Here is a 20771-nt window from a genome sequence, read left to right as displayed (position 1 = left end):
ACATTTAATTTTCTGATTATTTCCACAATTCATGTCTCTAAGAAACCCGTTAGAGTTTTCACCTTCCAGGTGGTGGACAGCTTATAATCATCATTAAAGGCAGGAGCTACAGACTATATGCCTCTTTACTCAGGATACAGTATATGTGGCTGAAACAAGTACACTCATCACTCTGCTTGTAAAGTATTTGAGTGAAACACACACACTAATTATTTGCTGAGTAAGATCTGTGACACAGGAAATTCTCACCAAACAATTATTTTATTGACATGTGAGTCTATGAATTGGAGACTGTCAAATTGCCATCTAAGCTGTTTGGTTAGATTCAAGCACAAACTAACTTTATGCTTACAATAGACTTATAGGTTGATTGATGAAATGTTATAAATAGACATGTCCATTTTTAATAAATGTATGTTTGTGGGAAACTGAGCCCCTTTGCAGAAATGAATGCAAGCTGTGGGACAGATTGGTAGTGATTGAAAATGCTGCAGTTGCTCCTCTGAAAGAAATATTAAAATATCTGATATAGCATAGGCTCTGAGTTCATGGTAGAACAATGCAATGCAAATGAAATCAGGAGAAAGGATATGCAGCCAAAGAATGGCGAGTCGCAAGAAAGGTCACATGGTTTATCTCTTAGCCTTCATACGGGAAAACACTTCAACCCTTGTACACAGATGAGACTGTCCCAGCCACCGCATCCACAAGCTCTCTAAAGAACTCATTTCAAAAGCTCTCAAGGCAAGAACATCCATCCTAAGTTCTCCATCTCCAGTTAAGTCTGCTGCCTCTCATTTGATCCTCAGGGAAGCTAAAGAATAGACAGCAGCTGTGCTCTGTGTAACCCTTCCCAGCCCAGAAGCTCTCATGATTATGCTTATTTAAGTTAAGGAACCCTAGTTTCTTTAGTCTACCCTTTCAATCTTGTTTTTAACCTACCTTATTTAGCTCACCCATTTACTTCTCTAAATGTTTTTGTCCTTGTTGTGTTCCCCTCTGCTTGTCCACAATTACTTCTTCAGCTTTTTAAGGTCCTTTCGTGTTCTTTTCTAAGTAATTATGAGTTTTTCTATTCAGTGGCTATTCCTACACCTGCCTAGTACTCCATGTATCATATTGACTTAGAGTTTCTCAAACAGCACATGAAGACAGATTTTCTTCTCTCGGGGAAGAAAACAATATATTTACATATATATATTTGTGTATATATATAAAACAGTATATTTGTTAATCATTTCCTTAGCTGTAGGGACTTAGGAAACAATATGTTTACTAATTTTTTTTTATCAATAATCCCCTGTCCATTTTTCAGGGGTTGCAAATGTGTACTTTCAGCTGTTCTATAGATCACTCATTCCAAACATTGAGTCCATTATCACCTGGGCAGTGCCTCAAAGTGCTTTCTCATGATATGCAGTTCCAACTGCCTGGCCCTGGGCTTGTGCTTAGTATATACTTAGTTTTTGTTGAGTAACTGTATATGCCCAAAATGGCTGTATAGACCACTAGAAAATATTTCTTTATATTTTCTTTGGGAAAATGATTAAACAATCTAGCTGATCTTATAAAACAAAGCATAAATGACCATCTTCAATTTGGGTTTCTAGAATGTATAGCGGTAGTCTATATTTGTCTTTTGCCATTTGCCTTAGAAACTGGAAGATTTGAACTGAGAAAACTATTACAAGTGAAGACATCCAGGGTGGTAGAAAAATTCACCCCAGCAGCTAAGCTCTTGAGAAGGAAGGAGAGTATTCAAAAGGAAGTGAGTGCCTCCTGGGTAGAAGGAGTTCTGTAAGTCCCCCTTGGGAGTACCAGTCTCATGGGAGAAAAATGTGCCATAACTTTTATTTTCATTCCGGCAGGGCCACTGGGTATGGCCTAAAAATTTAGGCATATCTCAATTGGCAGTATAAGTGTCTCTCGTTTTATAAAATAAAATTGTTTCCAGAAAATTATATGTAAATCAAATCCCACGTGAAATCCACATGGGATATGCAGTAAAGAAAGGAGCCTTTTTGTGAGTGTTTCTATAAAGCGAAGACTTATAATAGACGTATTAAAATGATTACTCTTTAATTTATCCATTTGAAAGTCTGAGTTCTAAAATGTCAGAATGAAAACAAGATATCTGCATTCTATTCAGAAGAAATTATTTGACCAAAGCTTGCTAAGCTTATGTATGCTTTAATGTAATAATGCCTCATTTGTGAGTATGTTAAAAATGGTTACATTTAAGTCTGCTTACTTTGCTTTGGAAGTTTCTGAAGAGCTTATTGGTGTTTCTTACTATTTAGCAGCTTTATCTGATATGACATTATATTATTGCCTTCTAAAATAGAATTTTTAAAAACTTCATCCAAAGGAGCCATGAATAACTGGCATGGCCACTTACTTATGTAAATAGGGTATACACATATCTCCTGGACCCAAAACTCTAATCTGTTACCATGCCAATTCCCTATATTTAGTTCAACATGCCGCTGAAATGTCTAAATATTGGCTGTTTCCCAATGTACTCCATCCTTTACTCTGTTCTTAGAGAATGAAGAGTTATGATACAGGAACTTCGCCTTGTACAACAGAGTAGGTGTTATTTAGGCACATTCCAAGGCTCCAGAGCAGTCAGCCTTGGAGGTGTTTACTAGGACTCTTTCTGTGGTTGGTTAGTGCATGCATCTCTGCGTAAATACAAAATATAAGTGTTCTTTGTAGTATTCATTGTTCCACTAATGCTTAACTGCATAGCTGAATGAGAAGATATTTTTCCAGCTCTAATACTAGCTAATATGATAAAATCTAAATAAAGTCTCTAAATACCACATTCATTATGTCCCTTCCTTATATCAAAACTTTTACTGGCTTCACTTTGAATGCCAACTAGTTGGAGGCAGTGTTTGATGTTATTCTGTAAGCAAAGCCTACAGTAGTCTGGCTCAACATACCTTTCTAGTCTTATCTCCTTCCTTTCCTACAAGAACTACTTCAGCCAATCCAATTGCCTCCTAGAGGAATTTGCCCAATTCATTAATGTATAATCTATGCAGTGCTCTCTCTGTGATGTGCTAGACACCAAGGAAGGTGCCAAGATGAAAGAATCATGGACCCTGCCTTCCAGGAAGGCACAGGCTGGCTGCCCAGCTAGCTTCTATCAGACACTCTGTGATGAATGCTATAACCAAAATAACACAAAAGCAGCAGAGGACTAGAACTAGGAAAGATGCTTTCTGCTGGCTGGATTTGGGATAGCCTCATCGAGGAGGTATAAATTAACCAGGGACTTAAATGTATGTGAAAATTTGGTTTGTGTCCTCTGAGATACCTTTCCTCTCCTGACAACCAAATGAGATTTCTTCACCTCTAGAACTCTCACAGTACTTACTGGCTAAACCAATCATATGACACTCATCCAAAACTTTCTTACATTGTTTTTACCTTTGTGCTCATTTTCCCCTCTAGATTATTATATTCCTAGGAGGCAAGGCCCATATTCAACACTTTATTTCCCTAACTGATAGCACAGAACTACTAATGAGAGTAACTACACATGTCATTTATGTGAAAAAAAAACCTGATTGGGTTCTGAGAATTCCTTGACTTAGTTAACCACTGCTATACAGTAGAATACCAAGATAATAAGACAGATGACAAAATGACTCAAATTTACTACTACTGGCTGGGAACTTCATTCCAAACCTTAATATAGTCTCCTGGGAAACTGCACTGGATTGCATACAAGCTGTGAAGATTCCTTTGCCTTCTTTCATTCACTCAACAAATATGCAGTGAGAACCTACAATAATAGTCCAGGCACTGTGCTAGCTTCTAGGTATGCAGTACTGAATAGAACATGGAATATATAGTCTAGAAGCAGTTCAAACAGCCTTTTGGTCCTTTTCCCCCAAGTCACATCATGACCCTGTCCTATATAGCTTTTCTAAATTTTTTTGTCCCCTTGCGCTGAGCATCTATCCTATATATCTTAGTACTCCAAAGGAAAACAGTCCAAAGACAAAATGTCAGGTTTTCATTTTTTTTTTCCTGTCCATACTATTTCATTCTCAGAGTATGTGATCTGCTTGATCCTTGTTAAACAGTCTCTTGGCTCCTCTTCATTAAATAAAGTAGTCTTAAATAACCACCCTACTGGTTAGACTGTGTGATCAAAAAATAAAAACTACCGTTTGTTAAGTGTCAACTACAGCCCCTTTCCCAGCTTGTACACTGCACAGGTGTAACTCATTCATACAGTAACTGCACAATGTAGATTATTGTTTTCCTCATTTTAATACTGAGGGGAACTGAGGCTCAGAGAGGTTACATAACATGACCAAGATTTGTGATTAATGAACACTGAAGCCAGTCTTTGGTTCATGTAATGCCATCCTATCCCAGATATAGTAGATTTTCAGCAAGTTTTGGTTTGTTCATTGGTTGATTGTTACCATTCTGATTGAAAGATCTTTATATATTTTAGATTACAGTATAAGAGGTTGTTAGTCTTTGGTAGCTATTAATCCCAGGCATGTGTGTTTATGTTCCTAATAGCAATTACATGAATGCTTTATGCTTAATAGAAACAAAGCTATTATTTTGATGCTTAAACATTCTTTAAACATTTTTACATGAATACATATTGATAATTCATGTATAAATAACACAAAAAGATTTAGAATCCCAGTTACAGTTTCTGTAAGATGCCCAGTTTCAAAGATCCAACTAAAAATAAGTGTCAGCTCATTGCAATAAAATAAAATAATCTGATTTTATAGACATATGAAAGCTGACTCATAACACTCATAACTCATGAAAATATCCAAAATCACATTTTGAGCATTAGCTTCAATGTTGTCTAACTACATTATTTCTATATGGGAAAATTCTGTATTCTGGGCTGAAAATTCTGCAGCCCAGCTGTTCCCAAACTTTAGTGTGTGCCATCAATATCCTCTGTGAAACTGGCTAAAATTGAAGATTTCAAGCTGAGTTGGTTGGAACCCAAGGATCTACATTTTAATAAGCACTCCATGTGATTCTGATACAGGAAGACCATCCACATCTCACTTCTGTAAGTATTCTTCTGCACCAGTGACTCACTAGTCTTCATTGTTGTCGTCCCCTCGCCCATCCATACACAAGCAGTTGTGTATTGCTTTTAAAGTTTTTTTTTCAATTTAAGTGTAATTTATATAAAATAAAGTGCTCAGATGTTAAGTACTTTTATCAGTTTTTCAAAATACACATACTCGTGCAATTTATTCCTCTTTCAAGATCTGGAATATTTTCATCACCCCAAAAAGGTTCCACATGCCTTTTCCTAGTCAACATTTCTCTGCCACCAGAAGAAACCACTTAATTTACTTCTATCACCATAGGTTCGTTTTTCCTATTTTAGAACTTCATAGAAATGGAAGCATTACATTTTGTGCTTTTTTGTGTGTCTGGCTACTTTCACCCAGAATACTGTTTGTGAAATTCACCTATTTTTCTGTGTATATCAGTAAGTCACTACATGTTATGGCTGACTAGTATCCATTGCATGAATATGCCAGTTTGTGTATCTATTCTCTCATTCAGAGATATCTGGATTGTTTCTAGCTTTTAGCTTAAATGAGTAAAGCTGCTATAAACATTTTTTACCAATCTTTTTGTGGACAAATGTTTTTATTTCTTTTGGACAAAAACCTAGCAGTGAAATTATTGGGTCATAAAGTTGATATAAGTTTAACTTTTTGAGCTACTGCCTAAGAATTTTCCCAAATGGCTGTACCATTTTATATCCCCACAAGTGATGTATGAGAGTTCTGGTTGTTCTACATAATCATCAGCTTTTAGGGTTGTCAATTATTTTCATTCTATTCATTCTTGCATGTATATGGTAGCATTGCATCTTGGTAATAATTTGCATCTGCCTAATGACTAATGATGTTGAGTGCTTTGTCATGTGTTTATTGGTAATTTGTACATATTCTTTAAGGAAGTATTTGTTCAAGTCTTTTGCCAATCTTTATTTTCTTATCTTATTGAGTTGTTCACAGTAGCTCTTTAGTATCTTTTTAATGTCTGTAGCATCTCTAGTGATATCTCCACTTCTATTTATTATATTAATGATTCATTTTTTTCTCTCTTTTCTTGGTCTATCTTGCTAGCGGTTTAAAATTGTATTAATCTTTTCAAAGAACCAACTTTTGGCTTTCGTGATTATCTCCATTTGTTTTCTGTCACTGATTTCCTTTCTCATTTTTATTACTTCTTTCTTCCTACTTATTTGGGGTTTAATTAGTTTTTTTCGTTTCTTAAGGTGGAAACATAAATCATTTATTTTATAACTTTCTTCTGTTTGAGTGAAGGCATTTAAAGCTACAAATTTTCCTATAATAACAGCTTTACATTAACTTCATTGTTTTGATATATTGTACTTTATCATTCAATTCAACCTATTTTCTAACCTTCTTTTTGATTTTTTTTTTTTTTACTCATGACTTATTTAGATATATAATGTTTGATTTCTTATTGAGGGGGTGGTCTATGTACATTCTGGATGTTAATTCCAAGCTTGATATTTGGCAGTCAGATAACATACTCTGATTTCTTATGAATGTATTTAAATTTGGGTTATGGCTCAGCTTATGGTTTACTTGGTGAATATTTCACGTGAATTAATGTGTTATTTGCTGTTGGTCAGTTCTATACGTTTATATCAGGTCAAATTGATTGACAGTGTTGTACAATTCTTCCATATTCTGACTTTGTATACAATTTCTGTCAATTTTTGAAAGATGAGTATTGCAAGTTCCAACTATGATTATGGATTTACCTATGTTTTCTTTTAGTGTTATCAATTTTTTGCTTCAAATATGTAGTGCCTTTGTTAGTAGGTACACACACATATAGGAATTTGTATATTATTGATTAATTGACCATTTTATAATTATGACATTTCCCCCATTATCTCTGATAATATCCTTCACCATGAAGTCCACCTTATCTGATAGTTATACAGCCACACCATCTTTGTTAGGATTAGTGTTTGCAATGTGTATGTTTTCTATCTTTTGACTGTTATTGTTTATGTGCCTTTATGTTTAATGTCTGTTTCTTGTAAGCAATATGTAATTGAGTCTCTCTTCTTCTAGCTCCCAAATTCTGACTTTTATTTCGTTTTTCAGTCCATTTTATTGTAATTGTTGATGTGTTTGGATATAAATCTTCCATTTTAGTATTTGAGTTCTATTTGTCCCATCTTCTCTGTGTCCCTCTGTTTTTCTTTTTTAATGTTTTGGGAGTGAATCAAATAACTTTTGTATTACATTATTTTTATTATTTTTGGCAGTTTCTCAAGATTACAATATGCATCTTTAAATTATCTCTGCTACTTTCAAAACATATTCTATTACTTCACAAACAAGGTAAGACATTTACAACATTATTCTTCCAATTTTCTTACAAACTTCATGATTGTTTTCTCATATTTTATTCTGTATGTGCTATAAACCTCTCATTACAATTTTATTATTTTTAATAGCAGTCAATACTCATTGATGTAATTTCTATATACATGCACACATTATTATTATTTTTTTATTATTATACTTTAAGTTCTAGGGTACATGTGCACAACGTGCAGGTTTGTTACATAGGTATACATGTGCCATGTTGGTGTGCTGCACCCATTAGCTCATGATTTACATTAGGTATATCTCCTAATGCTATCCCTTCCCCCCTCCTCCACCCCACGACAGGCCTGGACATGCACACATTGTTTTTAAAATAAAGATCTTTAATATTTTACAAATTTATTTACTCTTCGTGTTTTTCATTTCTTCCTGCAGAATTGGATTTTTATGTGATATAATTTTCCTTCATTATAAAGAACATTTTTTGTTCATTTCTTTTAGTGTTTATCTGCTGGAGAAAAATTCTATGTTTCTTTTTTTCTGAAAACTTATTTATTTTACCTTGATCTTTGAAGAATATTTTTGCTGGATATGTAATTCAAGTTTGGCAGATTTTATTTTTCTTTCAGCACTTTAAAGATGAGATATTCCATTGTCTTCTTTCCCTCATTGTTTTGGTCAGCAGTTATATATCTCTCTTATTGTAGTCCCACTGTAGGTAGTGTTTCTGTTTTCTCTGCCAGCTTCCAAGATTTTCTCATTATCTTTGGTTTTTAGCAGTTTGACTATGATATGCTTAGATGTTTTTTGTTTGTTTGTTTGTTTGTTTGTTTGTTTTATTAGGCTTATTTGATATTCTCTGAGATTCTTAGATACATAACATGTTGTCTTTCATTGATTTTGAACAATTCTTGGCCATTATCCCCTCATATACTTCTGCTTGATTCTCTCTTCTCCTGAGACTCCAAATTACTCATGTGCCAGATGGTTTCCTATTGTCCCACAGATATCACACACTGTTCCAATTTTTTTTGACTGTTTTCTTTCTTTCTGTTGCATTTGGATACTTTGTTTTCAAATGTATCCAAGTCACAAATTCCTTTCTCTACTATATTCAGTCAACTGATTAGCTCTTAAAAAGAATTCATCTCTGACATTCTACATTTTATTTCTAGCTTTTCAATTTTTTCTCTATTTGTACTTTCCATCGCCATATGTAAATAATACATTTATTCAAGCATGTCATTTGCTTTTCTCACTAGACCTTTTAAAATATGTATCATAGTTATTTTATGGTCCCTGTTTGATAATCCCATAATCTGGGCCATCTCTGAGACTCAGATCTATCACTTGAGTATGTTTCATATATTCTTCCTTTTTTTGTAAGTCTTTTCTTGTTGTTTATCTAATTTCTACTTGAAGGCAAGTCACTATGTGTAAAAGAACAGAAACTGAAGTAAATTATGTCAATGTCCAAAAATGAGAATACCTTTTCTTCTATTAGGCCATTAGTATTTTGTTTGGGATCAATCTACTCTTATATTGATCTAGATCTGAGCTTTAGTGACATTCAGTTCACCACAGACTTTACCTTATTTAGGAGCAGGATCACCATCTTATCTACAGCAATGCTTTAGCTCTGAGTACCTGGATGGTTTGTCTCTGTTCTCTTAACGCCATACTTCTGCAAGCTCTGTGTTCCATAACACAGGCAGGAGGGTGTTTTCTCTCTTATATTTTTTACACTTCACAACAGTAGAGGGTCAATGGGTGGTAATCAGTGTACTGAAGGTACTCAATGCCCATGGGGTGTCTCTCAGATGTTATTCCTAGCCTTCCTGTACTATGCACCTAGGACTGGGAGAGGAGGTCTCTCTCAGCCCTCCTTCCCCTCTCCCAATAGTAGATGGTCACTATTTCCCACTCATTGTAAAGCCTAGAGTGTGGGAGGGTTTTAACTCATACTTTCTGAAATTTGTTTACTAGCATATATTAGACTTGTGCCTGAGGACCATTATCGCAGAAGTATGTGAACTCAATATAATGTAAATAAAATATCCACCAGCCACCTAATATTCCAAAACTCTGTGCATACTTGAGTAAGCAATAATTACACACATTGCCTGGTTAAACCCAGTCTCCAATTTGGATACCAGAGTTTGTTCTTGGTAAATTTTAAATGAAAATAGTCTTTAAAGTTTCAAGGGGCAATGGCTCAAGGGATGGAGTATTTGGGAATGGGAGATACTCCCCATTTAAATGCTAGATGAGAGATGGATTCCACTCTGAAACTCTGGAGAACCAGGAGTTATAACCCACGGAGCCAAAACAAGAAAGTTGCAAAAATTATATCACTTAGAGTGAAATATTATCAAATAAGCCATTCCATGATGGCTTATGGTTCATAAAAGGCTTTGATCTAATATAAATGTGTTTATATTTTACTGCATGTAAGGATCCTCTTCAGAGTATTAATTCACGCATTTTTCTTTAGTTTTTGCTAAGTTTGACTTTGGAAAGGATAATATAATATGAAAATATTGGATGAATAAAAGTCACTGTTAACATATAAGTTTTCCCATCTGTCTTCTTTTTCATATTTATTGTTACAACCTTTTGAACTTGGGAGACATTTTTTGCACAAAATTGAAATGAGTTACATGAAATTAATGTCCAAAGATGAAAGCATGAAATTGCAGAACATATATGTTTTTCCATCTCTTTATTGTTCATGTTCACTGTAATGCTTTGGGGAGCATTGTTTATGGGCTATATATTCAAACACCTAATTTAAAGACAAGAAAATATTAATCATTAGCCTAGTTCCACGTTTTTCCTAGGTATATTTTCTTAGTAGAGTATGAAGAATGTATTAGCTTCACATTGATATCCTATGTATTTCTATGGTAAATCTAGAACTGTTCTCCCATATAATTAAATAGGGTGGATTTGTTCCACAGTTATTTTCTCTATGCATCTCATTGTATTTCATCGTGTAGAAAGTAATGTGATTATGGGCTTTAGTCAGAATGTTATTTTGTTCACTTAAGATTCATTCTCAGGAAGGTTGAACAAATTTGAATTTCATATGATAGCTTTCTTTATGTGCTTCAGTAACTCTCTCCCTTTATATAAGAGAAAATCTTCTTGTTGAAGAGATCTACAGATCTCCCCAGTGCCTGGGGGGCCTGAACTAGCAGCAGGGGGGGCTTCAATGAAGGCTACTGCTTCCTGTGCCTCATTGATAGGGGTGCTATGCATATTTCCCAGACAGAATGTTGGTGTTGCAGTTACTAACCCTTCTAGATATTTGATACAGAGTAAAATTTGCCTTATTTCCTAAAGCCTCTGAGTTAAAAAAAAAAAAATGAATCTTATTCCTTTTCATTATGTGATGTCGGGCAAGTTAGTCTTTCTGAGCATCACTTTCCATATCAGAAAAAAATGAGATACACATAATACCTACTTCGAAGGATTATTGTAACGATTACAGATATGGTTTATAATGAGCTTGGTACTTGGTAGGCACTTACCAAATATGAGCTGTCATTATGGCAGCAGAGCGAAGTGTTAAAAGTAGGGACTCCAGAGCCAGACTGTTTGTGACCAAATCCTGATTCTGATATGTACTAGCTGCCATTTGGGCAAATTGTTTAACCTCCCTACCTCTCAGTTTTATCATCCAAAAGTTAGGAGTAATAACAGTACCTACCTCATCAGTAGGATTAGGTTAATTAATACATGTGTAAGACCAGTGTTTGGTGCATAGAATAAGTGCAATATAAGTATTTGCTATTATTCTTCTCCATTTCACACAGCCCATAGTAGGGCAAGCTGAGGAGATGGGAGGCCATTAGAGGTCTCAACTGAGTATCAGTCGTCTCAGTTGGTCTACAGTAGATAAGAGATTATGACTTTTTGTCAAAATGTATGTGCAGATAAAGCTGTCTTTAATAGTGTATGTACATCAACAAGAAGAATAACAAAAACAGCAACTACAATTTATTGAGTCTGTACTACATGCGAAGCACATGCTAAACTCTTTACAAATATTAACCATTTAGTTCTCCCAATTACCCTAGGAGGTAGACACTAAAGTTATTTAAATTTCACAATAGAAAAAATTGAAGATCAGAGAGGTTAAATAGCATTCTAAAGTCACATATCTAATGTGCTACTGGATCAAGATTCGCAATTAAGTTTCCTAGTTATAAAGCCCATGCTCTTAACCACTCTGCCATATAGTCCTCTTCTGCACTAAGGGGGAAGCTTACCCCAGGGCTTCAGGATTCCTGTGCTGCATGATTTTTTTTTTTCAATTTGATGTAGCAAATGAAAACCCTCAAAACTATTGTCTTTTTGATTAGTGGTGGACTAACTAAATTCGAAGAACTTTCATGTCCATAGGCCTTGGAGGTCATGTAACTTAGATCTGTCATTTTATCGGTGTGGAAGTAGATGCCCAGAGTATAGATGGAGCTTTCCTGAAGTTTAAGACGAGTTGGCAGGAAAACTGATACTCAAACCCCAGGATGTTTTTTTTCCGACATTCCACCAAGCCTGTAGTTTGAAAAATGGCAATGACAATGCAACTTTTATACAACTCGATGCTGTTTCTAGTTATGTGCAAACCCATAACAAATGTTGCCTTATTATAATGCCTAGTCCTTACTTTTGCAAATGCAAAGTCATGCTTTGTTCATTACCAATAATATAATATTTTTACAGGAGGGTTGTGGGGGGGAGGAACTTCAAGCTTCCTGAGTACCTATAAGTAAATATCAGTAGAAATACATGCCAAATACCGTTAGGAAAAAATCCATTATATTATCAATACTCATTGCCCTAAATGGCATTTCTCTACTGCAATCATGAACACCATCTGCAGCCAGCTTCCCTGAAGAAGTACAGACTTGAAATTCATAATGTCTGGTGCTGGCACTCTTAATGCTGAAAAATCTTACCGTACTGCTTAGGAAGAACAAGTGTGCAGTTTCTGATTGAATGAGACATAAAGGAACTGTTCTTGACCCATTTTGACTTCTCGTGCACTGGCTCTTAGATCCAGGGAGTTTTATCCCCTGGGTAAATAACCATATCATGGCCTTCAGTAGTCTTTACTTGTTGCTTTTCTATTAGCAGTGACGAAGGATGTGCATGCTTCTCCTACAGACCTGTTGGTGCAGTATTATTCGTGTACTCAAGATGGTCCCCTTAACTCCAGAAATTATAAAGTTAGAGGGAAAAAAAGACTGAGTGAAAAATAGGCCTTATTTTACATACATCTTTTCCAGTCCCATAATACCGCATTACTTATTTCCCCATAGTTCGAATTAAGTAGAAACTCTGTTCAGACCAGATGGTTCTCTGAGGTGGTTTCCAGATCAAGGTAAGAAATGAAGTAAACTGTAAGTTGTAAAACATATTGAACCATAGCTCGCAAAATAGATAAATTGAAGCCAACTATGATGTGAAAGACAAATGAAACTCCAAATATTTTTAATAAACTTATAAAAATGTTTTGAATAATTTTAAGTTTACAGAAAAGTTGCAAATATAGTACAGAGAATTCATATATACCCTTCATCTAGGTTTCCCTAAAGTTAACATACTATGGTACATCTGTCAAAACTAAGAAATCAACACTGGTACATTATTATCAACTAAACCCCAGACTTTATTTGGATTTCACCAGGTTTTCCACTAAGGCCCTTTTTCTGTTCCAGGATTCAATCCAGGATAGCACAGTGCATTTAGTCATTATATCTCCTCAATCTCCTCTGGTTTGTGAGAGTTTCTTTGCTTTTTATTGGTTTTTAGCTCAGACTGTTTTAATAGTAATTCCACATGGCTTATGTGTCCTAAAGATAAGACCACTGACTATTCCAGCAATTCGCCTAGTTTACAAATTCTAACCTGCGTTGTTAAGCACTATACTTAAAAACTTCTGTCCTAAAATGAATTACCTTTGACTAACCCCAGCCTTGAAAACCCTGTAAGTACTCTTTGCTAACTCCTCCTTTTTAACATAGTACTGAGACTCTGTCAAGGGGGACTTTCTCTTGCTTAGTGTGTTTCACATACCCAGCTTTGTATGATCAGCAGGTTTCTCTGGTAGTCTTTGTGTGAGGGCTTTGACAAAAGGGTCTATGATGATACCATTCAATCATCTACTAAATGCAAGAATCCCTTCCACAACATCTGATTGGTACTGGAATAGGTCTGTGTGATCCCATGGCCCTTCTATGAACATTGCCAGTGACAAGACATTGATTACCTTTCAAGATAGTCCATGCTACCTATTTTTATACAATCCCTATTGTTGGAAATGTCTTCATCAAAATGAGCCCTAATCTATTTCCGTGCAGCTTCTCTTCCTTTGTCTTATTTCTGTCTTCCAGAAAATCAAAATATTGGATGGAAAGTAAGCTCCGTGTACAGTTCCACTCAAGTGGTATGCAAGGAGTCGGACACGATTGGGTGGTCCCAGCTTTGTTCACATAGTGTCACTTGCTGGTTGTGTGAATTTGGGCTAATGACTCAACTTCTCTGGGCCTTAATTTTCTTACCTGATAAAAACAAAACAAACATAAAAACACCCTACCTCATAGGAGTGTTGTGAAAATGAAAGAAATAACATATGTTGAAGCACCTAGCACACTGACAAGCTCAGAGAATTCTCTTAACAAATGATAGTTACCTTTTGGTCAGATGATCACCCCCTGAGTACCCAAGATGAAATGTACCATTTATGTTATATTGCATTATTGTGTTATTAGTTCTGCTTCACAGCAGTGAATTGTAACGTTCCCTTCTTGTTAACTAATTTCTTAAAAGGTTTAATTTTATTTTTCTGTTGACCTTTTTTTCCCCTCGAGACTTAATTAAGTTGTTACTGAACAGAATTGAAGTGTTAAATAACCTAAGATGATGGGTTTCTAGCATTCATGAATTCCACGCATCGCCAACCGGTGAGATTAGTCATGGCAGTGGATGAGAGAGCTTGGCAGGGATTAGCAAATACTCCTGTTAATCAGCAGAATGCGCAAATTAGGCCCTGGCTCATGGCATTGATATAAATCTCCATGGCAACACCAGGGTGAGCTGTTTACATGTGAAGAAGTGATTTCAAAGCTGCAAAGGATGATAGAAATTACTGCAATGACCATAAATAGGAAAAAACTGAGGAAAGGAGAAGTATTCCCACTTCTTAAAGAAATTCATACAACTTTCTATAAATTTAGTGGTAGTTTTACCATCTCTGAGCCTCTACTACTGGAAAGTTAATTGACAGTGATATAAACAGAAAGAAAGTAAGAGGGAGTAGAAGAGGGTCTGAAATCATTCATAAAATATACAATCCATCCCTCTGACCAAATAACTATAAATCAGGATTATTTGCATATCTGTGTGTAGCAGGACTGTCTGAGTTAGTATCCTACTTCCACCATCCATTAGCTGTGTGACCTTAGGCAAAATTTTTAATCTCGTCGTATCTTTTCTCCTCACCTATAACATAAAGCTAATAACAGTACCTACCTCAGAAGGTTGTTATGAGATTTGGATAAGTTAACACATGTAAAACATTTGGAACAATGGTTGGCTCAGAGTAAATGCTTGGGAAAATGTTAGCTGCTATTATTATTATCACTGTTATTATTATTCCTGTTAGTTGGCCATAATTCTTGAATATAGACTACCTTTCTATTTTATACCCTGTAAAGAAACTACAGAGTGGGAAAGGTTATATTTTTCATTTTCTAATTTTGTTTGTGCTGGAAAAGAGACTTGGAAATGTCAGCACTAGAGAGGTTTTATAGATATTATCATTTTCAATTTCAGTACAACACTTAAGAAAATGATAGCTGTGATACTAGTTGAAGCATAGGATCCAAGTAAAGCCACTTTATTATTTAAACTCTCATCAAAACCCGGGAGCAGGTGGATATCTATAAAATGTGATGTGATCAAAATTGAATTAGATTATCTCAGAAATAGAGCTACCTTTTTAAACATATATGTAGCTCTGAAAATTAAACCCAGGCCCCTGTCCTCTCATGGACCAATTTTCTCTGTGGTTTCAGCTCATTTCACCTTACTTGTGTCTGTTGGTTGATTAGGCTTCTAATCCAAGCAGGATAATTGCCGTAATTCAAGTTTGGATTCAATTTTCAGTGCTTACATTTGATGGGAGATTATTCAAATAGATACTGGGCTGTTTGCTTTGTGAGGTCAAAATTGTTGCTACTTTTTTATTAATGCCAACAAATCTCTTGCCAGTCACCACCCAGTGGTTCAAAAGCTTTTGGAGGCAGCCTAATGGAGCTGAAAGGGAGTGAGACTAAGAGTTAGAAACCTTGGTTGGAAACCCTGCTGGCCTCCTCTACCATCTGACTCTTGGTCGTTCACTCTCATGTTTCTTTATTTGTGTTTCAATTTTATTTTCTTGTGCACCTTTTTGTAAGCCACTTCAATTCTTCTTTGGAATGAGGTAGGTCAGCAGTGACAATAACCAGAGTAATTCATATTCCAGAAATAAGGCAATATGAAAGAGGCTTTAACATAAGTGCATAAGTGTGATCAAAATGTTCAGTAAGATAAAGGAATAAAACTCTTAAGATATGATCAGAACGTTATGAAAAAATAGACATATTATCAAACACCAAACAGAAATTGTAAATATATATATGTATTTAATATATGTGTGTATATATATTTTATATATAACATTTGTGTGTATAGATATGATTTTGTATGCCATTCATAAAATATTATTGTATAATATATAGTATTTCTACCAATGAAATAAAAACAAAATCAACAGATAAATCCAGCTAAAGAGGGGATCAGTGAAGCACCCAGATTTTGCAAAGAAAGATACAGAGATGGAACTAGGAAAGAGAAGTAAGGAATCATGAGGGAGAGACTAAATAAAATGAATATTTTATCCGTTATTTCTATGTTTTATGGAAGAATAGGTAGGATGCACCTAACAGAAGTTTCAGTAGAACAACAGAGATTTAAAGAGAGGCAATAAGTAAAGAGTTGATAGCTAAATTTCCAGAATTGAAGCACAGCAATAGAAAAACTGATTAAGCACAATTGAAGAGGAATACAGTGAGCAGGGAAATTTTCAATATGTTTTCAATATATTCAAATACCAACCAAATCCTAGTTGTTCCTCTCCTATAGGAATACTGAAATCTATATAGATGAATTACTGGCATTACCTGGCTTGGACAGTCTTTTCACACAATCTTTAATTTGTTACCTTAAAGTTTTATCATCATAAAAATTATTTATTGACTGCCCATGTGAAAAATCTCTGGTCTCCAACCTCACGCCAGTTATATCAGGAGAATGGCTGACTTACCATGACATACATGCCAATGTAATTTTCATTTTTATTGGCATCTTTCTAAAGGGATTACTTCTACTACACCCTCTGCTGTTGCCAGTCAGAAATCAGTAACAACTGTATACTTGAACATCAATGTTGACAATATGTACTGAATGCGATCAGTAGGAAAAAGAAGACGATCTCTTTAAAGCAAGGAATAAAAACTTACAAATGTTCATCAGAATATCCACATAGCATAGTCGATTTCTCCCAGTCCCCAGTGGTTGATGTTCAAAGGGTAGTGATATAAAAATCTAAGGTTTTGCAAATTCTTTACCTGAGGGAAAGTAATATGGCCTAGTAAGAAGAATATAGTACCAGTAGTCAGTTGAAATCCAGGTTTGAAGTCTGGCTTTACCTAATTTCGTTCCCCAACTTCTGAGCTTCTTCCCATCCTCCCACATTCATCTTCAGTGACAGGTTTTGTTTTCTGAAGCTGGATTCAATTCCTGCCCTCCTGCCCTCCTGCCCACGGAGTTAGCTGCACCCTCTTTGGGCTCTGAAAACACTGGATATTTAGTATCATTCTTAAAGTGCTTACCACACTTGTGTTTTAGTTAACTATTTACTTCTCTTTCTCCTCCACTTGAGGCCAGGGACAGTCACTGGAGAGGCAGTAGAGTCATTTTTTAAAACATGAAATATAAAGGCAGTATGCACAAATTTAAATTCTGACTCCACCACTCCCTACACTAATGAATGCATTAGCCTTTCTTCATCTCAGCTTCTTAATCTGTAAAATGGAGATAAGTTCATAAGGTTATTATAAGTATTAAAAGAGTAAACAAAGTACAATAAGTCCTCGCTTAAATGTCATAAATAAGTTCTTGGAAATTGCAACTTTAAGTGAGATGACATACAGCAGGTCTTCAAATAATGTCATTTCTTTCAATATTGTTTCCTTATAATGTTGATGAGAAAAAAATTTGGTTTCGTTATGTCATTTCGCTTAAAATTGCAGTTTTCAAGAACATATCAATGACATAAGTAATGATTTATTGTACTTTGAATAGTGCCCGGAGTAGAGTTGGTGCTCAATACATTAGAGCTATTAGTATTTTTGCATCCTTCAGGTCTTAGCTCAGTACTTGTCAAACAGTTATCAGTAAATGTTGAATGAATAAATTAATGAATGAACAAATGAACAAATGGCCCAAGCCAAATGTATTCAACTTCTCTTGCCTCAGATCTCTTCTCTAAAATGAAATCATTAGGTAAGCATCAAGGCTTCTGTTAGGAAATCAGTTTCTAAAATTGCTTGAGGCCTTCAGTGGTTGCACGAAAAGTTACTAAATAATTTCAGTCTGTTGACTGTACTTTTAACTGTTTGTCAGAAGAGAAAAGTTAGAGCAAATTAGCTAGAATAGATATTGGAGAAGCTCCTAATTGCAAAAGGATAGTCATGGGCTTCCGAGTATGGAAGTGAATACACTGTGTATAATATTTTTCTCTCTTTTGGCTGAACTCAAGCTTCCTGTAGCTAAAAACAGATGGCACAAAAAAGCTTACAGTGTGGAAAGCCAGTTTTTCCTGTACGAAAAGAACTGAGTGTTTGGAGTGCTTTAACTTCTTGTCTCTGCTAAGTAGTGATGGAGAGAAAGGCCGGGAAGTGTCCTTTGGGTCTCATAGCATTCCAAAGTCCCAGATTACCTGAGTCAAAACAGGTTCTAGTGTTAAACTATTTCTTGGGCTAGGAAACATAGAATAACATTAAGTAGTGCTTTATAATCCTATAATTTTCATGAGAAAGTTAGCAATGTTTTCTTTAAATATTGCTATAAGAAGTTATTGAGTGTTATGAACTGTGCTTATAACTAGGCATAGATCATATGTATTATTTTTATTTCATAATTCACTTTTGTTAAAGAAAAAAAAACTGATTAGAAAAATCATGCTATATTTCATCTCGTTCAGTCCCCCAAGCCAAAACATAGTCACATCCAGGCACCACTGTTGAGCAACCCAAATTCCAGACCCACTGCCAATGAGGAAAGAAGTAGTATTTAAAGGTCTGGCCTTGTATACATAAATGTGCTTTTTGGCTCAGGATCCTTAGCTTAAATACTTGCACTTCCACTTATGTACTAGCCAGGAAACCAGAGTCATATCACTTAGTCTTTCCAGGCTTCACTTTTCTCACCTTTGCAATGGCAATAATGATAATACCTACCTTACATGTTGTTGTAAGGATTAAAGGGATTAAGGTTATAGCACTTAACAAGTTGCTTGTCCAACTATAACCATAGTATTTATTGAGTGTTATCACCATTTCCAACCCCAGTTTTGGGAAAAACAAATCTAAAGCAGAAGGGAGAGCTTAAAAATCATCTAGGGCATCTGCACAGTTCTCAGGTGGGTTATCAACCTGTCTTTCATCTCCTCCTTAGAATATGGAGGATAGTATTTTCTCTGAATATACCAGGTTCTTCTCCCCAAATCTTGGTCAGTGTCTGAAAAGAGATGTGTTAAGACTCTTAATCCTGAGGGAACACTAAAGTATTTTCCCATTACCTCTCTGTTGCTTTAAAAAATATAAATTCTTGATAGGAAATTGGAGCAAACAGTGCCATTGGCAAGTAGGAAATCCATCCAGTGTTCCTTAATGCTGGTTGTGAATCTTGCCTCCATATGCTAAATAATAACAGACACTAGATCATTTGCCCACACTGCATTCCTTTCCTCAAATACTGAGTTTAGGTCACCTTCCAGTAACTTTATTTCCTGAATTGGCTTAAATCCAGAAAAATTAGGTTGTCTGCCATTGCCTCAAATCCTCCATCATTTTTTCCCCTAGCTTTTCATTTAGGTTACCTAGTTCACTGGGCAAGAAATGAACCCAGTGTTACAGATATTTTGCCTCTGATTCTTGTACATTTTTAGCCTGCCATAAATGTCTCACCATAGAAGCACCTCACTTAATGTTTGTTAGCCATCACTTAGTTCATAAAATAGAAATTGTTCCTTCAAGATCTTCAAATATTATTGAGTAAAACAGAATCAAATTCACTTAGAGAACCTGATGCTTTTCTTGGCTCTAGACACTCTGTCACCACTGAAGCAACCCATTTGATTAATAATACATTTATTGTGTCTACAAAGTGTTTTCTGCAAGTTGGATGAGAGAAACTTCAGGAAATGAATGTGACTGCCTTGATCCACATGCTCCAAGTTCATCCAGTATGATCTTCCAAAGGCAAAAGCACTAACAATTAGCTTTGTGTTATGGCTCACACCTGTAATTCCCAGCACGTTGGGAGGCCAAGGCGGGAGGATCACTTGAAGCCAGGAGATAGATAGAGACAAGCCTGGGCAACAAAGTGAGACCTTAGCCTTAGAAAAAAAAAATAGTTAAATGTGGTGGCACGTGCCCGTAGTCCCAGCTACTTGGGGACTGAGATGGGACATGGCTTGAGCCCAGGAGTTAGAGGTTACAGAGAGCTGATCACGCCACTGCACTCCTGACTGGGTGACAGAGAGACCAGATCTCAAAACAAAACAAAACAAACCAACAACAACAACAACAAAAACACTAGCAATCCCCATGCCCTATCAGAGGGGACCTTTGCCTTCTCATAATGGTGTTACTGCCCCTTTCCACTCTCCTAGTGATTACTTCTTGGTGGCAGGTCATGGTTATACAAATAGTCGTGTAGATTTTATGACAGAATGATAGTCTTAATGGAAACCAACCCACATACCTAGCTAGATAGAAAAGGTTTTTGTTGTATTCATAAAAGGTTTTATAGAAGAAAAATCAGCAATCAATCATAGTATTTAACAACGCTCACTGAAAAGAATGTTTTCCTTGTACAAAACTTAAATCCCCACATATTAAAGCTTAAGCTCATTTCCTTGTATTCTCTCCTCAAGATTAAGGGAGAAACCTCCGCCCCAGAAAGCTGCTATTTCTCTCCAGGTTTTCTTGATTAAATGGCCAAGCAGGTAATCAGAGGCCTTGAACTCTCGATGTT

General features: G+C 35.6%; 1 protein-coding gene across 5 annotated transcripts in view; it reads left to right on the top strand.

Moving 5' to 3' along the window:
• The window catches only part of FGF13 (fibroblast growth factor 13), a 590297-nt gene that overhangs the window by 467099 nt on the left and 102427 nt on the right, over positions 1-20771 (top strand). The gene's annotated exons all lie outside the window — the stretch shown is intronic.

The sequence above is a fragment of the Homo sapiens genome, chromosome X (assembly GCF_000001405.40).
Source record: "Homo sapiens chromosome X, GRCh38.p14 Primary Assembly".
Lineage (NCBI taxonomy): Eukaryota > Metazoa > Chordata > Mammalia > Primates > Hominidae > Homo > Homo sapiens.
This window is presented reverse-complemented; position numbering and strand designations above follow the sequence as displayed.